This window comes from Homo sapiens, chromosome 4 (assembly GCF_000001405.40).
Source record: "Homo sapiens chromosome 4, GRCh38.p14 Primary Assembly".
NCBI classification, from domain to species: domain Eukaryota; kingdom Metazoa; phylum Chordata; class Mammalia; order Primates; family Hominidae; genus Homo; species Homo sapiens.
Window position 1 is genome coordinate 151,462,637 of NC_000004.12, and position 19,731 is coordinate 151,482,367.

At 37.4% G+C, this 19,731-nt stretch overlaps 1 protein-coding gene across 7 annotated transcripts in view; it reads left to right on the forward strand.

Annotated features, from left to right (window-relative positions):
• The window catches only part of FHIP1A (FHF complex subunit HOOK interacting protein 1A), a 261,328-nt gene that overhangs the window by 53,461 nt on the left and 188,136 nt on the right, over positions 1-19,731 (forward strand). The gene's annotated exons all lie outside the window — the stretch shown is intronic.

The following is a 19,731-nucleotide window of genomic DNA, read 5'->3' on the forward strand; positions in this document are numbered from 1 at the left end:
CACCTGGCCAAAAGAAGAAAGAAGGGCAGGAAATAGCAATTGAAATTTGATGAGCATAGTCCTGGAGTGAGCATAAGATGGGAGTTGTGAGCCTGCTGTTTATAGGGGAGATTTAATTTCCTCTCAGAGTGAGAGCATTTTGGTCTGAACAGCATGGCCCATAAAATGCAAGCTGGTTACTTTCTCTGATGTTTACCTGAACAGACAATAGTCTTTTCTGGATGGCTTATTGTGGACTTACTGAGAGATGACTTAGTATTGTATTTTATGCGGAATTACATGGAGTTTTCAAGGGTAGTTTTACTATTTGTAATTGCTGCCTTGGTTTGACTTTAGATTCTAATCCAGTTCCCTGCATTATTAGGTATGACTTCACAGTGTTGGCCGGTTGAGGGTAGGTCTTTTAGAGCTCCTGTGAGCTCCTTGAGATTTGGGGCTGTGTGTTATTCATCATTGCCAAAGCAACTCAGAAAATATTTTTGTTGAATGAAATAATGAATACTTAACACCCTGCCATGGTACCTAGAGCATGGGCACATTCTGGCTGTTTTGGTTTAGAAGAGATGGGTTTTGCTGAGTGATTTAGGCCATCTGTTGGAACTGGATTGCAAGTCATAGACTTGTTGAGACCATCTTTTCTTCCTACCTCTGGTGATGCCCTAGCCAAAGAAGGTGGCATTGGGGAGGGATGGTTGAAAGTAGAATGATGGTATGTCAGAGATGCCAGTAGCTTTGAAGAGGTTCTTATTATCCTTTCTGTTTTATACTGAATCCATATCTTCTGTGTCATGACAGGGCACCTTGATCGTCACAGACAATTTTGGCATTCCAGGAATGGATGACCTTCCAATTAGAAGATTACACTTCCTCCTTTGCCCCTTGCAGATGGTTTTGAACTCTAGAATTATGGGTGACATAAATTAAAGCTACTCGTAAAATATATGCCCCCAGCCTTCTGTTCTTTCCTTTTAAATGTGGTCCAGTTGTGCTCTACAGTAATGATCCTAGTATTTTATGCACAACTTGCCCAGTAGCTTCCAATTATGTGTCACAAAGAAAAGTTTTAACTGTTTGGTAGGTGGCCTTGTCTGATGACAATACCGAGCATGTGGCATTTTGTTCTGTGTCTCACAGTATCACCATGACACTGACTGAAAAATACCCTGGTTTCTGCAAGGTGTCTGATAGATCAGGCAAGATTAAATAAAGATAATTACCCCTGAGTTTTTCTATTTTTTACATTCCATTTAGAGAGGTTTGGTTACTGCCCTTGGTGAATTTGGAAGCTCCTATATATGATATCCAGATCTTCCTACCAGACATGAATATGATCTGACTCCTAACCTCTCATTCTGATATAGCCTTCTGTCAGCCTCCTTAGCCAGTTTGATATTTTTATTGTTTATTTACTTATTTTTTACCCTTTTTTCAAGAAATGGGGTCTCACAGTGTTGCCCAGGCTGGACTTGAACTCCCACTCCTGGGCTCCAGCAGTCCTCCTGCCTCACCTTTCCAAGTAGCTGGGGCTATAAGTACACACCACCATGCCCAGCAATATTTTTATTTCTGTAATGTGTCATTTAGCCAGTGATTGTTGTATTATAATAGAATCACAGAAATGGAGGGACTCCTAGAGGTAATCAAATCTGGTGGTTTTTAAGCCTTTTATTCCCTCTAAAGGGATAGTAAAACCATTAAAAATATAATTTATCCCAATATGTAAGTCAGAGAAAGCTGAACTTCTGGTTTAGAGAGGAACACAGATGAAAGGCCAAATGCCTCCATCATTTCTCCACTCTCCACCCAACCCAACCTTCAAGGTATCTGGGGGCTCTGTGGACCTCACTTTGAAGACCATAGTTCTGGAGTAATGAAGGACTACTATATTAAGTAAATCCTTCTAGCACCGTTTAGCACCAGTTTGCTTGTATATTGCTTCCTGAGGGTAAAATTTTAAAACAAAACTGCTCCAAGTTCTTCCTCTGCATTTGTCTGTAGTGTGTATTACCTACAGACACTCACCAGTCATCAGGAAGCTTATTGTGTATCTTGAATGTTCAGCCCAACCAGCATACACTGTAGGTACCACAGGTGAGAGGCTGACCTGAGTGACAGAGTGGTACTCACTTTTTTATTTGATGATGAGTATGGCATCTGGATAGCACTTAAGAGATTGGAGTGTACTAGATGAGATAGGCTCTAATTGTGTAGATCAGTGATTGTCAAAGTGTGGTCCCCTGACTAGCAGCATAGGCATCTTCCAAAACTTGTTAGAATACAAATTCTTGGGGGTTGGGTGCCATGGCTCATGGCTGTAATCCCAGCACTTCGGGAGGCTGAGGTGAGGATCATTTGAGGCCAGGAATTTGAGACCACTCTGGGCAACATAGTGAGACTCTGCCTCTACAAAATGTTTTAAAAATTAGCCAGGCATGGTGGTGCACACCTGTAGTCTCAGCTACTAGAGAGGATCCCTTGAGCCCAGAAGTCCGTGGCTGCAATGAGCTGTGATCGCACCATTGCACTGCAACCTGGGTGACAGAGTGAGGCCCTGTCTCTTTAAAAGAAAAACAAAAACAAAAACTACCATCAGAGAATACTATAAACACCTCTACGCAAATAAACTAGAAAATCTAGAAGAAATGGATAAATTCCTGAACACATACACCCTCCCAAGACTAAACCAGCGAGATCGAATCCCTGAAGAGACCAGTAACAAATTCTGAAATTGAGGCAGTAATTAATAGCCTACCAACCAAAAAAAGCCCAGGATCAGACAGATTCATAGCTGAATTCTTCCAGAGGTACAAAGAGGAGCTGATACCAATCCTTCTGAAACTATTCCAAACAATTGAAAAAGGAGGGACTCTTCCCTAACTCATTTTATGAGGCCAGCGTCATCCTGATACCAAAACCTGGCAGAGATACAACAGCAACAAAAAACTTCAGACTAATATCACTGATCAATATCCATGCGAAAATCCTCAATAAAATACTGGCAAACCAAATCCAGCAGCACATCAAAAAGCTTGTCCACCACGATCAAGTAGGCTTCATCCTTGGGATGCAAAGCTGGTTCAACAAACACAAATCAATAAAAGTAACCCATCACATAAACAGAACCAACAACGAAAACCACATGATTATCACAGTAGATGCAGAAAAGGCCTTTGATAAAATTCAACATCCCTTCATGTTACAAACTCTCAATAAACTAGGTATTGGTGGAACATATCTCAAAATAATAAGAGCTATCTATGACAAACCCATCCAATATTATACTGAATGGGCAAAAGCTGGAAGCATTCCCTTTGAAAACTGGCACATGACAAGGATGGCCTCTCTCACCACTCCTATTCAACATAGAAATAAAGGGTATTCATATAGAAAGAGAGGAAGTCAAATTGTCTGTTTGCAGATGACATGATTCTATGTTTAGAAGACCCCATCGTCTCAGCCCAAAAACTCCTTAAGCTGGTAAGCAACTTCAGCAGAGTTTCAGGATACAAAATCATTATGCAAAAATCACAAGCATTTGTAGACACCAACAATAGACAAGCAGAGAGCCAAATCATGAGTGAACTCCCATTCACAATTGCTACAAAGAGAATAAAATAGCTAGGAGTACAACTTACAAGGGACATGAAGGAACTCTTCAAGGAGAACTACAAACCACTGCTCGAGGAAATAAGAGAGGACACAAACAAATGGAAAAACGTTCCATGCTCATGGATAGGAAGAATCAATATCATGAAAATGACCATACTGCCCAAAGTAATTTATAGATTCAGTGCTATTCCCATCAAACTACCCTTGACTTTCTTCACAGAATTAGAAAAACTACTTTAAATTTCATATGGAACCAAAAATGAGCTCATATAGCCAAGACAATCCTAAGCAAAAAGAACGAAACTGGAGGCATCACACTACCTGACCTCAAAGTATACTACAAGGCTACAGTAACCAAAACAGCACTGTACTGGTACCAAAACAGACATATAGACTAATGGAACAGTACAGAGACCTCAGAAATAATGCCACACATCTACAACAATCTGATCTTTGACAAACCTGACTAAAACAAGCAATGGGGAAAAGATCCCCTACTTAATAAATGGTGCTGGGAAAACTGGCTAGTCACATGCAGAAAACTGAAACTGGACCCTTTCCTTACACCTTATAAAAAAATTAACTCAAGATGGATTAAAGACTTAAATGTAAAACCCAAAACCATAAAAACCCTAGAAGAAAACCTAGGCAATACCATTCAGGACATAGGCCTGGGCAGACTTCATGATGAAAACACCAAAAGCAATTGCAACAAAAGCCAAAATTGAGAAATGGAATGTAATTAAACTAAAGAGCTTCTGCGAAGCAAAAGAAACTAGCATCAGAGTGAGCAGGCAACCTACAGAATGGGAGAAAATTTTTGCAGTCTACTCATCTGACAAAGGTCTAATATTCAGAATCTAAAAGGAACTTAAATAAATTTACAAGAAAAAACAGCCCTATCAAAAAGTGGGCAAAGGATATGAACAGACACTTCTCAAAAGAAGACATTTATGTGGCCGAGAAGCATATGAAAAAAGCTCAACATCACTGATCGTTAGAGAAATGCAAATCAAAACCACAATGAGATACCATCTCGTGCCAGTCAGAATGGTGATTATTAAAAAGTCAAGAAACAACAGTTGCTGGTGAGGCTGTGGAGAAATAGGGACACTTTTACACTGTCGATGGGAATGCAAATTAGTTCAACCATTGTGGAAGACAGTGTGGTGATTCCTCAAGGATCTAGAACCAGAAATACCATTTGACCCAGCAATCCCATTACTGGGTATATACTCAAAGGATTATAAATCACTCTACTGTAAAGATACATGCACACATATGTTTACTCCAGCACTGTTTACAATAGCAAAGACATGGAACTAACCCAAACACCTATCAGTGATGGACTGGATAAAGAAAAGAAAATGTAGTACATATACACCATGGAATACTATGCAACCATAAAAAAGAATGAGATCATGTCCTTTGCAGGGACATGGATGAAGCTGGAAGCCATCATCCTCAGCAAACTAACACAGGAACAGAAAATCAAACACCACGTGTTCTCAATTATAATTGGGTGTTGAACAATGAGAACACATGGACACAGGGAGGGGAACGACACACACCAGGACCTGTCAGGGGGTGGAGGGCAAGGGGAGGGAGAGCATTAGGACAAATACCTAATGCATGCAGGGCTTAAAACCAGGATGATGGGTTGATAGGTGCCGCAAACCACCATGGCACATGTATACCTATGTAACAAACGCTCACGTTCTGCACATGTATCCCGGAACTTAAAAAAAAAAAAAAAAAGCCGGGCATGTTGGCTCATGCCTGTAATCCCAGCACTTGGGGAGGCCGAGGAGGGCGGATCACGAGGTCAGGAGATTGAGACCGTCCTGGCTAACGCAGTGAAACCCCGTCTCTACTAAAAATACAAAAAAATTAGCTGGGTGTGGTGGCAGGCACCTGTAGTCCCAGCTACTCCGGCGGCTGAGGCAGGAGAATGGCGTGAACCCAGGAGGCAGAGCTTTCAGTGAGCCGAGATTGCGCCACTGCACTCCAGCCTAGGTGAGAGAGCGAGACTCCATCTCAAAAAAAAAAAAAAAAAAAAAAAAGAATACAAATTTGTGACTAGATCTCCTGAATCAGAAACTTTGAGGCTGGAGCCCAAGCAATTTGTATTTAATAAACTTTTTGGGTGATTCTGTTGCATGTTACAGTTTGAGAACCACTGGTGTCAGTGAATCCAGTGGCAATGCCAAAGGCTGGCCTGGGGTGCCTTAACCCTGCATCCCCTTTCTATTAGCATTCTTCTTGCTTTGCTATGGAAACTCAGTATTTTTTTCACTCTTACGTGAAGTCTCAGGCAACTTTAGCTTCAAAACTAATACCCTAGGTTGGACTTCCAATTAGATTGCCACCCCATGCCCCATTTCTGTAGACATTCTAAAGTAGCCACTGGATGTGTATGTACACTAAGTTTTAGATGTTACCTTAGTTGGAAGGCTGGTCATTTATCAAAGGAAGTGATTTTCTGCTTAACTTACCAGGGCCTCATTTGTCTGAATACTGCTAAGGTAACTTGGGAATTATAGACCTTTCAGCCGCCTGTCTACTGTGAAGGTCTGATGGAGGGTTTCCTTAAGGGCAGCACCTATGTAATCATGATCATCTGATCTGGGGTACTTTGTTATCATTATGAACCTGTTCCTGTTCTCAGTGTCTTTATGATTCACTAGGCAGTTATTCAGTATCCTGCAGTGAGGGATTCCTAGCCTGGGATCCCAAGAACCACCCCTGATAGCAGAAAAATAAGCTTTGCTTGAATATGTGGTTATACTTTTTGTGAGTGGAAGGTCAGTAGTCTTCATGAGATTCTGAAAAGGCTCTATTGCCTTTTACCCTCTTCCCTCAAAAAAGCTGATTTACCATTGCTTTAGTTGCTTTTGGATAATAGTTTTAAGAAGTGTTCACAAGATTTGCAGCCATTTGAACTGGAAGACCTTTTGGTTTAAATTTCACAATCCTATATTAGCTTGTCTTGTCTACTCAGGCGTTACTGTATACATTAAGTCAAGTAAGACTGGTTCTATACTTGTGCAATCTTGCTTTTCTGTTTTTGGTGTTTGAGAACAGTGCTTACTTGTTGCCATCAACAATAGTAATGCATTTGGATAGTGCTTTCCAGCTTATCCAGTAATTTCAGGTATAGCTTCTTTTTAAAATTTGATACTGTGAGACATATAGAGCAGGAGGATATTAGCCCTATTTTTACAGGTGATGACACTAAGGCTTACAGGTGATGACATCACTAAAAACTAGGTTTACCCATCACATAAAAGCTTGGACACTCCCACTACACTCACGTTCTGGTTGCTTCCAAATATGCTTGAATGATGCCTAGAAAATTCTCAAAAGTTCATTATGTCTAAAAGACTGTTTACTGGCACATTAAATCATTATTGTCTCTAAAGGAAATGGATAATTTTAAAATTGTGGATTTCTTTTTTGCTTTTCCTTATTTTTCTTTAAAACAAAACTTAGATATAGATATAATTTCCCCATTTCACAGTCAAATAAAACCCCTCTTCTTTTGCCTTCCACAGATACCTTTCAAAATCCTGTTCAATCATATATTTTAGGATGTCGGGTCAGGAGACGGCAAATCATTGCCAGCTGGTGGCATCACCTCATTTTCATTAGATTGTTCTTTGAGTTTCAAAGACTAGTGCCCTTGTAACTTACATTACACAGCCTTAAAATTGCACATAAAAGTTTGCTGTGGAAGAGTAGCAAATGTAAGATAAATTGAGAAGGTTAAGGGGAAAACTGTGCTAAGAGCTTCTCATAAATGAATTCTCATCATAAAAGCACAGTGATTTTTTCAAGTGACAAATTAACTCAAGAATTGTGCTCTGCATTTTTAAACAATGTGTGGTAGAGTAGTATGGTAATTCCATTTGTCTTTAAGCCAGAGGTTAGTGCCTCAGCATATTACACTTGTGCTTTTTGACTAATAGTGTAGAAAAGAAAGCTGTGTGTATGGATATTTAATTTATTTTTACTTTGCAAATGTGTTATGTCTATGATTTAGTCAATAAACAGATGCTGTGTGTTAAGGCAGGCTGTCATAGAAAAGGAGTTTGTGTTGAGGCTTGGGGCCAGAACATTTTCCAAAAGGAATATTCGTGCTTAGAAAACTTCTTATAAATATTCTTGTTCAGACATGCATTCCTCTTTTACTTCAGTGGGGTCACTGAGTAGATGTTGGTCGTTTATTTCAGTTCCCTGCTATCGGGTCAGTAAAAAAGGTATTAGTGGAGTGTGGGTGGTTTTTCTTTCTGCTGCCAAGTTAGAGGTTTGATTGTGACAGTGAACTCTGAACAAATGACTTCATCTTTTTATGAGGAATATACATATTAATGTCATTCAGACAGTTTCTTGGGGACATACAAAATATCGGTATTAATTTTAGGGTTTGTATAATACAATGAGAATAAAGAGAAGAGGGTTCCTGCCCTGCCATCTTACAGTCTAGCTAGTGAAACCTGACAGATCATGTGAAAGCTCTGTATTCTTCTAGTCATTGATGTCAGTATTATGAGTTTAGACTGGGTAATCAATAATAATATCTTTGCCCTTTGCATCCTTCTACTGAAGTTTTCATTTTCCTTTCTTTGGACTGTGGCCGTATTGTATTTTTGCTCCAGGATTTTAATTTGTGGGGCAGGGACAGTAGGTGTGATGTTAGCTAATTGCCTACAATGCTGGCTGGCGTGGACTTGACCTTTCCAAATTGGAGCACAATACCAAAGATCACATTTTTAGTTGAATGAGATTCTTTGTTGTTTCAATCTGAGGGGAATCTTAGTATCTGGGGATCAATGAATGCATATAGATGAGGGACAAGTGCTTGGTTCAGGAACTCCAGGGCCATTTACCAATCAGTCCTCCAACCTGTGTGGTGGTCTTTACATTTCTTGGAAACATAATAGATTCAAGATATGAGGATAGGAGGGAGCCTGAAGCAAAGCAGTTCTCTAGATTTCCTCAAAGTTCCTTTTAACTCTGGATCTCTCTTGGAATTGTTCCTTTTTTTTTTTTTTAAACTTTAGCGTATTTTTTCCAATAAGGAAAAAAAAAAAAAGAAAAAACCACCAAAACAGCACTCTGAATCTCTTCTTCCTATGGTGGAACCTAGTATTATGGAATCTGTTTACATCTAAATAAGGAAGGTAAATTATAATTTCAACAGCATGCCAATCAGCAGACCTAGAAGCCATAACTTCTAAAAGAAAATTTATATTCTAATTTTTATTTGTTGCCTATGTTTCATAATTTTTAATCTAAGGTCTTTTTAGAAATGTTTGTTAGTCCAAATGAGTGCTCACAATATGGTAAACACATGGGAGATTTCTTTTTTTTTAAATTTTATTTCCATACGTTATTGGGGATCAGGTGGTGTTTGGTTACATGAGTAAGTTCTTTAGTGGTGATTTGTGAGATTTTGGTGCACCCATCACCTGAACAGTATATACTGCACCCAATTTGTATTCTTTTATCCCTTACCCTCTTCCCACCCATTCCCCCTGAGTCCCCAAAGTCCGTTGTGTCATTCTTATGCCTTTGCATTATCATAGCTTAGCTCCTACTTATGATTGAGAACATACAATGTTTGTTTTTTCCATTCCTGGGTTACTTAACTTAGAATAATATTCTCCAGTCTCATCCAGACTGCTGCGAATGCCATTCATTCATTCCTTTTTATGGCTGTGTAGTATTCCATGGCATATATACCACAGTTTCTTTATCTTCTCATTGATCGATGGGCATTTGGGTTGGTTCCACATTTTTGCAACTGCGAATTGTGAGAAGCCATAACTTGATGGGTGTTTTGCAGTTGTATACTCCTTTGTCTGGATGGACACTGGACATATGTAGGGTTAAGAAATACATATGTGATTACAGGGCTTATTGTTTATTGAAAAACATATTACCATTAAATTAGAGTCTGGTGACCTATGATCTGATTTCAAAATAGCTTTGCCCTAATAACTTAAAACAGCTCTTTTCCTGTCAGCTGGCTTTTAACGTGTATTCAGACCATGATTTTTTTTTTGTACTTTAAAAAATTTGAGATAAAATTCACATAATACAAACACTATGAGTATTTCTGGTCAAGAGAATTTAAGAAAAGTTAATTGACTCAACACTTGGTCCATTTTTTTGACTGATGGCTGATAGGCTGGGTGCTATAAAGCCAAGTCTTTGCCTTCAAGATCACAGCCACCTGTGGGGATAAAAACATGTAAACAAATATTAATAGAAACACGTTACAAGGTGCCCTGTGATTGCCAAGGATGTTTATTACACTTTCCTCTTTGAGCCTGCCTCTGAAAATAGTGGAATTTTTTCCTCTTGCCTTGCTGTTTTTTTTTTTTTTTTTGTAGCAACTACTTCATTGTCTTAATGTTTACTCTGTCAGGGATTTCATATGAAAGTTAGAATTTTGTCAGCCACTCTGTTCTTCTGAACATCTCTTCCTTCCAACATTCAAAAGGCAGAAATATAAGTGGTGACACCTGAAGTTAGTGTATTTGTTGGGATTATAAAACATGCAGCACATTTAGGACTTGGTATAAAAAAGCTATTTTTGAATGCTGAAATGTAGACTGGGTTTATACCAAGCTTATTTTTCCTGCAAGTCTGTGGCAAGACCATTGCACAATAAACTCCAAATCTGCTTGCTTACTTAAGCCAGTCTTAATATTCACATATTTGTTTTTATTGTACATTTCACCTTTCTCCCTTCCAAAAAACCCAAGCCAGGAAAGGGTCTCCTTACTGTCTTCTGTGCTTTGAAGTTTCCTGAAATTTTATGTCTCTGTTTTTTGTCGTTGTTGTTGCTATTATCTCTTGGATGTTTGTAAATGTAATAGCAGTCAGTGCCTTTTCCTTTTATACTGGTAAATGAAGGCTTAGCTGGATAATGTTCATAAAGATCTCTAGAATCCTTAGAGAAAGGACTAAATAAAATGAAATAGTATTATGCAAGATGAATAAACTACTTTCCTGTATTAAGCCGAGTTTTATTAAGGTGAATTTTTTCTCAATGCTTATCTTTTTTTTAAAATTTATTTTAAGACTCTAGCTTTATTAATAGTTAATGCTCCTTCATTTCCCTACTCTAAGGCATTTCTGAACTGGTGCAGTTGTCATTTTTCTTCTTAACTTTATAAAGTATAGTATCTTTAAAATGTTAGTTAAACATTCTTTGATGTCTCTCCTTGGCCCATGAAATGTAAAAATTGATTTTAATAATCTTATTTTATTAAAATCTTGCAACATTTTTGTCTAGTGCTAGAATATAATATTCATAGCTCAATTTTAAACCTTAGACTTGAGTTTTATTTTACCTCTCTCTGTGTGAAAAGCTTAAAGGGCAAACTTATCAGGTTATACTTTACAGTTTTGCAGTTTTCCTCCTTTCACTATCCTGACAGCTGAGAAAGTCAAGGGAACAATCAACAGACTGGTTTAAGAGAGCAGAAATGTTTCCAGTGTCCTGGAATTTGCTTCCTCCCTGGTATGAAAGCTTATATTTGTAGCATACAAAGTGATGTTGTGTAAAAATGTGAAGGACAGGTGTTTACTCTGGCCTTGACCAAGGTGAGAATTTGAGATGGAAGAGTCAGGCTCTATATAGGGGATGTTTTGGAACTTGACCAGTCTGTCAGTTTTGTTACCTACCAGTGAAACTGAAAGGTAAGTGAAGGCAATGCAATTTCACAACTCATAATACAGCTCTAAAATCTTTTTTTTGGTTGATGTATTTTAAGCAGTTGAATATATTTTCCATAAATTTTACTGCTTTCCATTTACCTTTGAATAGAAGCCAATGAGGAGAAGTATTTAGAAGGTTATGAGCAATAACAGAATGAACTGTTGGAAAAGTCTTTTTGTGGCTTTCCTCAAGTGTGTACTGGTGGAAAAATTACTGTAATTTGATAGTGAAATGTTGGAAAATGATTTTATTTACTATTTAGAAAATAACACAAATGGGCCTTGCTTTTGAAATTCACAGGTTCAAAACATTTAGTTATGCCTCACTACCTTAATCTTTGCTCATTATGCTTTACATTGATGGAATTAAATGTGACACATTGCAATGTTGGATCAGCCCCACAGTTCTAAAATACAGGGTTTGATTAAATTATAAAAAAAATAAAGATACTGTACTGTTTAGTGTCAGAAATGGAGATTTGTGAAATTTTGTTTTTCGCTTGACGTTGTCTGAAGGAAAGAAAGTATCCCAGTGAGAGAGGAGGAAAAGAACATTAAGAATACCTGACTGTAACTTGCCTGTTGAAATCACAGAAGATTCTTCAGCTTTGGAAGAGCAAATAGTTTTTTCAAAGCTAAATCTTTAGTGTCTGTACTGATCATAATATGGCTAGTCCGCTGGGAAATGGTACTTTCAGTATGTGTGTCTGCCCATGCCAGTAATAAACACGTGTTTATTGGCCATTCGGCCCTGAAGCATCCAGTTTTATCTTTTGGGTATACAAGGGCATGTGCAGATGAAGGTCACAGCTTCATGATGCTTGCTGTGAGGCTTATGGGTATCAGTAGGAAGGCTAACAATGTAATTCCCATAATGTCCAGGGAATTCTTTGGAGGCCATCCTCTGATTCTTTTGCTTACCTTGTACAGGGGCTTGTCTATACAGTATTCCTCAGACTTTCAATCAATGGTGTGATTAACTTGTGCTTTAGAATTCATAAGATTATATGAGCATTTTCAGTGGCCTAAAGTCACCTGTCATTTGTTTTAATGGTTAAGGGTCAGGAATTGAAAGTTAGACGTAGGTTTTAGTTTCAGCTGTGCTTCTGTGTGATTTTAGTTACTTAATTTCTATAAGCTTCAGTTTTCTTATGTGTAAAATAAGTATCCATTCATTCATTTGTTCATTCATCCATTCAATAAATAGTAAGTACTTCCCATGTGCCAGGCCTGCTCTTGGTGCTGGGAAGTGAGCAACAGGGAAAGCAGAGAAAAATCTCCGCTGTCATGGAGCTTCAATTCATGGGGAAATGGAATGTAAATTAAAAGAAGTTAAACATTTTGTGTATTTTCCACATGTGAATATATATGAGATGATGACAATTGCTACAGACAAAATGAAACAGCATTGGGGTAGAGACAAGATTGGAATGCGATTTCTATTTCATGGGGGGTAGACAGGAAAGGCTTCTGTAAATAGGTCATATGTAAGCAGAGACACAAATGAAGAGGAGGATGATATATGAGGATATCTGGGGATGGAGGCTCCGGGGAACAGCAAGTCTGGCAGGTGTTGCACATTCCTGAGGTGAGAACAAGCTTGGTGCATCAGAGGGGCAGTGAGGAGAGGCCATTGTGGCTGAAGTGGCTGAAGTAGAGTGAGGGAGGGGCAGAGCAGGATGGTAGTAGTGCCCAGTTTGTGGGGCTGCTTAGGAAATAACTTGCTTAACATGTACTTCGTACATATTAAAAGAATAAAACACTGTAACAGTTGAGGTTTATTTCGGGAATGCAAGAAGGGTTCATCATCTTATTAAATATAAATAGAAAAAAGTCATCTGTTTTTTTTTATAGAAAAGGCATTTGATAAAATTCAATCTCTATTATCGATTTTTTTTTTTTTTGAGACAGAGTCTCCCTTTATTGCCAGGCTGGAGTGCAATGGCATAGTCTTGGCTCACTGCAGCCTCCGCCTCCCGTGTTCAAGCAATTCTCCTGCCTTAGCCTCCTGAGTAGCCGGGACTACAGGTGCCCACCATCGCACCTGGCTAATTTTTGTATTTTTAGTAGAGACGGGGTTTCACCATGTTGGCCAGGATGGTCTCGATCTTTTGACCTTGTGATTCGCCTGCCTTGGCCTCCCAAAGTGCTGGGATTACAGGCATGAGACACTGTGCTCGGCCGATTTTTTTTTTTTTTTTTTTGCCCAGGCTGGAGCGCAGTGGCAAGATCATGGCTCACTGTGGCCTCAAACTCCTGGGCTCAAGCAATGCTCCCACCTCAGCCTCCTGAGTAGCTGGGATTACAGGTGTGCACCACCATGCCTGGCTAATTTTTTTATTTCATTTTTTTTGTCGAGACGAAGTCTTGCTATGTTGCCTAGGCTGCTCTTGAACTCCTGGCCTTAAGAAATCCTCTCACCTCATCCTCCAGAAGTGCTGGGATTACAGTTGTGAGCCATTGCACCTGGACCTATTATTGATTTTATAAAAACCCTTTAAAATATAATAGGAAAATACCCTTAGCAAAGTAAAGTATGTTCATCTCAACCTAAAACCATCTGAGCCTAAATAGGAAATTTGAGAGCATTTCCATTAACATCAGAACCCAAAATAAGAATGTTTACTATTTTCACTAATTGTTAATGGTATTTGGAATCATAAACCAGTGCTGCTGGATGAGAGAAAATAATGAAGTTATCAAGAAAATCAGAAAGGAGGTAAATGAATGTTGTTTGCAAATAATGGGAATATGTGACTCAAATATCCAAGAGAATAAAATAAAAAGCTAATTACGAAGAATATGATAATCTATAAATGTGCCTGGATACCCAAGTAATGTGTCAGCATTCATAACTTCCATATATGCTAACAATAACCAGTTAGAAGATATATTGGGGAAAAAGGCCATTAGCATAAAAAGGATGAAATACCTAAGAATAAACTTAGGAAAATAATATGGATGCTGTATGTGAAGGCGTTTAAAAATGCTCCTGATGTGTAAAAAAAAAGATACGAAAAAATGGAAAGGTCCCATCATATTCTTGGATGTGAAGGTGCCAATTCTCTGTGAATTAATCTGTATTTTTATGTAATTCCAGTAAAAATAACAACAGGATTTTTGGGGGCTCTAAACAAGCTGGTTCTATGGTCATTTGGAAAAGTAAACAACCACAAATAGGACAATTCTGAAAAAGAGAATAAAATCTAGCTTAGTAAGTCTACAATAATTGAAACATTGGTATTGCCAGATACCATATTTAGCATACAATAAAGGTGGTATTTCAAATTAGTCGGGTAAAGTTGCTCAGTTCCATAACTGAGGGATAACCAGGTAGCTGTCTGGCGGAAAAGGTACTATTTGCAGCAGTATCTCAAATGTTAAGCCAAAAATCAATCTATGATAAACAAATTTAAAATATAAACTAGATTGTAGAATAACATGGGAAAGTTATTTTATAATCTTGGAGTATGTACATACGGCCCTTCTAAGTAAGATAGAAAACTGAGAAGCCATAAAAGAAGAGATTGATATATTTGATTACATTTTTTAAAAAACCTGAGTAGCTTCTGCATACTTCAAGGAACAAGAAAATTGGGGAAAATATTTGCTTCTCAAATCATGAAGGGACTAATTTTCTTAATAAAAAGCTCCTAAAATCCATAAGAAAAAGTCCAAAAACCAGAAGAAAAATGGACTAAGGCTACAAATAGTCTAAAGGAAGGGAAATAACAGTGGCTTTTAAACATATGGAAAGATGCTTAACTTCACCCATTATCACAGATACGCACATTACAACTACACCGAGGTACCATTTATCACTGTTAGATGGACAAAGATTACAAAGTCTTATAACCTATTCTGTAGAGAGTATAGGTGCAAAACATTAGTCTATTTAGTGGGCAATTGGCAAAATCTATAATATGAAAATTTCATATTGCTTTATCTAGGAATTTCAGTTTTAGAAATTTATCCTAGATACAAAAACACAGTCCTAGACATGCAAACATTCATACGCACTATGAATGTATTCTGCATATACTGTACATACTTATTACATGCATGAGAAAATTATGTACAAAGTTATTAATTGTAGTAGTGTTTATAATGGCTAAAGGTTGGAAACAACCTAATGTTCATAATGGGATACTGAATCAATACATTATGTTACAGCTGTACACTCGAAAATGTTCGACCATAAAAATCCACACCAGTGAATTCTCTTTAGGTACCAATTTGGAAACATTGCCAATGTATGAAATAGTATAATATGTTTATTTGTGTAAAAAACATTTATACAAGATGTTTTGTTTATATGTGAAAAGATACAATTTCTGGGAAAGCTAACTTGGTGGCTGAAGACATGCCTAGCCTCATTTCAAAAAAAATCTACATGTAGCACATGCCTTGCTGTTAGCACTTATTACATGCTAGTGGTGGTGGTGATTTTCGTTGTAAAAACAAGATTCCTTTGCCTCACAGGTTGATTTTTAACAGCTGAGTCTGGAAGAGGGCGGTCATCTCATTATAAATACTGCTTATTGAGTGTCAGACTTGGGTTTTTCACCAAGAATGCCGTATATACTTCCTGAAGTATGTTTCTTGGAGGTTATCAATACTAGCTGTGCAAACCAAAGATGTCAAATAATATTGGGCTAAACAAAACTAAGCAGACTTCTTTTCTACAAGGCCTTCTTAGAGCCTTAATATACGTACTGTGTTTTGTGAATATTCAAGAAGAACATTTAGAATGTGGCATTTCCCCAAATTTATTTAACTACAGAACCTTGGACAATAACTACTTAAAAAAAACACCTTATGAGTAGTTGTCACATTGGGAAACATCACTTTAATACTAGAATTTGGTTTCATTCACCTTCATTATTCATTTTAGTAAGTCAGTATTCTTGGTGTATTTCTAAGATACTTGTGGTCTCTGCCTGCTTTCTTTTCCTTCCCTTGTGGTATGCTCCAATTCACGAATTTGTTTTGTAGTTGAGACCCTCCCAAAGTCATCCAAATTACACTCAGTTTCTTGGGTAAAAAAGAATTGTATGAAATTAATGTGAAATCTCAGGGATTGATTGAACAGAAATTGAAGATTGAAGCTTCATTTGGTTCAACTTTTCCTAAAGCTTTAGAAGGTTTGCTGTTGAGAGGAGGAATAAAATCAACTTAATGGATACACTGTTGAGGAATTGTGAGCTTAATATGGAGAAGACAGTATTACTGTGGGGCTTAGAAGACATGGCTTCTACCTCTGTCTTCATCTTTTAGCACAACTTAATTTTGAACAGGTCACTCATCCTCTCTGTGCCTCAGTTTTATCCTCTGTAAAACTCAGGGATTGCATTGAAGTGATAAGTATGGGTCCATCCATTTTAAGACTTTAAGTTATTATTAACGTGCTTAATGGAATCAGTGAAGTTTGTGGACCTGTGTAGAATATTTTGTTCTACTATGGGAGATTCCACATGTGAATATAATGTATTACCTGTCCCAGTTCAATCCTTTTTGAGAATGAAATTATTCAATAATTAGCTCATAGTCAGCTTCATGTGTTTGAAAACTTATTGAATTGTTTGAAACTTCTCTCTTCGTTGGTTGGTTGGTTAATTATCCTCCAGGAAAGCGTTTGATTATATTACAGATCAATTAATACAATGCTATGGATAATCCACACCTCTTGTATAAATGTGCACCCCACCCACATTTGTTTCTCTGGTGTATGGAGAAATCCATGATGTGGATATTAATTCTCTCTCCCCACCCCAACAAAGTGTTCATTTGGTGGTTTTGCTGTGCTTTTGTGTACTCCCTGCCTATTAGCATATTTCTGAACTTGACATAGTAGAGGTCTAAATTCACTGAATTTATGCCATCTGGAAATGAGCTTTAAATTTTGTTCCTTTGTTGAAATTAGGGATGTGATATAGCTATTACACAGGACTGTGAGCCTGAATTTGATTATATTATGTGGAGGTAGAATGTTTTGTTAGAAGGAAAGCATTTGCCTGGGGAGAGATTTGAGTGTGACTGAATTGTTAACTGCCAGCTTCCCCCCTTTTTGGCAGGAGACATATTTTGTTTTTAAATGAGATGACAACCAAGAGAATTATCAAGAACCAGTGAATTTTAAGAGAGTTCTTTCAATTTACTTGAATTCCACTTAACCTTGCTTTCGATGTCATTCTGTGCATTACTGTCAAAGGACTCGGCTTCCTTTGAAGTCATGAAGCGTTGCTGCTGGCGGGATCATGATGGTAAAATATAAGAGTGGTTCTTAGTAAAGCCCTTAACTGATACCCAGCAATGCCTTATTACCTAAGTAAAAGCATATGTGTGCGAGTGCCTAAAATTGTAGAGTGTAAGGGGAGGATATATGATAATGGACATTGAGATGGGAGAAGTATTTCTCATGAATTAGGGATGCCCTTTCATAATTCACAAATTGCAAGATGAGAAAAGGCTTGAAATCACCTGAAAAGCATCTAGCAGCAATCTGTAATTCTTAAGAGGAGGTAAAAGAGCCTGTATCTCTCCAGCACATGATGATAAAACTGTTCCTGTGGGATACGGAAGAAGGAGAATTCTGTTACTTGTAAAACCCCTTGCGATTAAATGGCCAGATATTTGGTTATGAGGTGATACTGGTAGTTCCCAGGTGGTTAATAAATGATTAATTGATTAGACTGAAGAAGGCTGATTTGAGGGTATTGAGGAAATCTGAATATGAAGAATTTGTTTTTTGCATGCAAAACGTTATCCTTTACTTTTCATACTCCACTCTTCTCATGCCTTGCCACTGCTACTCCTGTGCCTAGTTTTGAAGATTTAGGTCACACTGTGTCCCCCCACCCCCATTTTTTTCTTTTCACGAATATTTGTTATAAGAGAAGGTACATTCTAAGCCTTTGACACACATACACACATAGGTTAAACACACATACACAACACCTTTTGTAGAGACTTCTAGGGCCATCTTTTATTATATTGGACTATTGCAGAAAAATTATTATGTGAAAGTGGCTTACCCTTTGAGGCTTGAGAAATCATGGCTATATAGAGATTTCAAAAAGACATATTTGTTTTACAGGACTCTGACTTGAATTGCTCCCCTCAACCCATCTAAAGATAGGAACTATTTTACCTATTATTTGTAACTATATCAGAAGAAATTGCATCTTGTTTTTTTCTTTTGCATAAGTAGTTGTGATCATATGTAATTACAACATTGTACCCTGCTTTTTCTTTCCACTTTGTATTATAAACTACATATTCCCATTTTATTGTAACTCATAACATTTCTTTTTTATTTAAAAATTACTTTAAAAATTTGACATAAAATTGTATATATTATGTACAGCTTGATGTTTTGAAGTATATTTATATATACATATTATGGAATGAAAAGTTTTTAATGGCCAACAGAATTGTGATTAAGTAAATTATGTGGTTGTGGCAAATTTACAGTTTGTGACAAACTGACTTCCTCAGTTATTGGCATTTAAATCGTTTCCATGTTTATTTTTTATTTTTTTAGAACCCTAAGAGAGGCTTCTTGCACCTACGCAAGAAAAAATTGAGGGCAAATCCATAGAGTAAAGTGAAGGCAAGTTTATTAAGAAAGTAAAGGAATAAAAGAATGGCTACTCCATAGGCAGAGCAGCCTGTTTCCATGTTTTAAATTTAAGTATAGTATTTATTATTTCCTTAAAAAATGTACTCTCTTGGACATTTTCTCTGGCCTCCACTTATTGTGATATCAAATAGTGGCTTCTTGTGGTTTTGTTTAGTATCTATGTTGGCTTCTGGCTAACTGCTAAGGGTTAGTCTCTCTAGATGTTCTTACTGCTGTCTTGGACACCTCTACGTTTTGTTCTCTGTGTTTCTCCCAGGTAGGATAATTTCCTTGCCAGCTTCTCTTCAAGCTCATGTTTTTCTGGTTGTAAGGTAGGCATTAAGCCACACATTTGTGTTACGAAAATTATCTTGCCAGTTAGGCCTGATGATAGGAGATGTGTGTCTAAGACCAAAGTAGACTTTGCCCGTTGGATGGCGAAAACCTGAACTATGAATTGTCAGTATCTAGAGAGGTCAAAGTTACTCAGAAATATTTGGGAATGTGTACATTTTTTGAAATTGTTTATAAAAAGTTTTTTGTGCTCCTTTCTTTGCTATTTTATATTATGCTATCATTATTATCTTAATATGATACTGTTGACCCATGGATATGGATTTATTTTCACACTTTTTTTCACTCCCAAAAGAAGCATATAATTGTTTGACATCTCTTATAAGATGGAAGAATCCTTTTCTATTTTCTGTTACCCAGCAGGAGTTTCTCATTTTTGGCTAGCATTCAGATTTCTAAATAAAGATTTGCTTTTT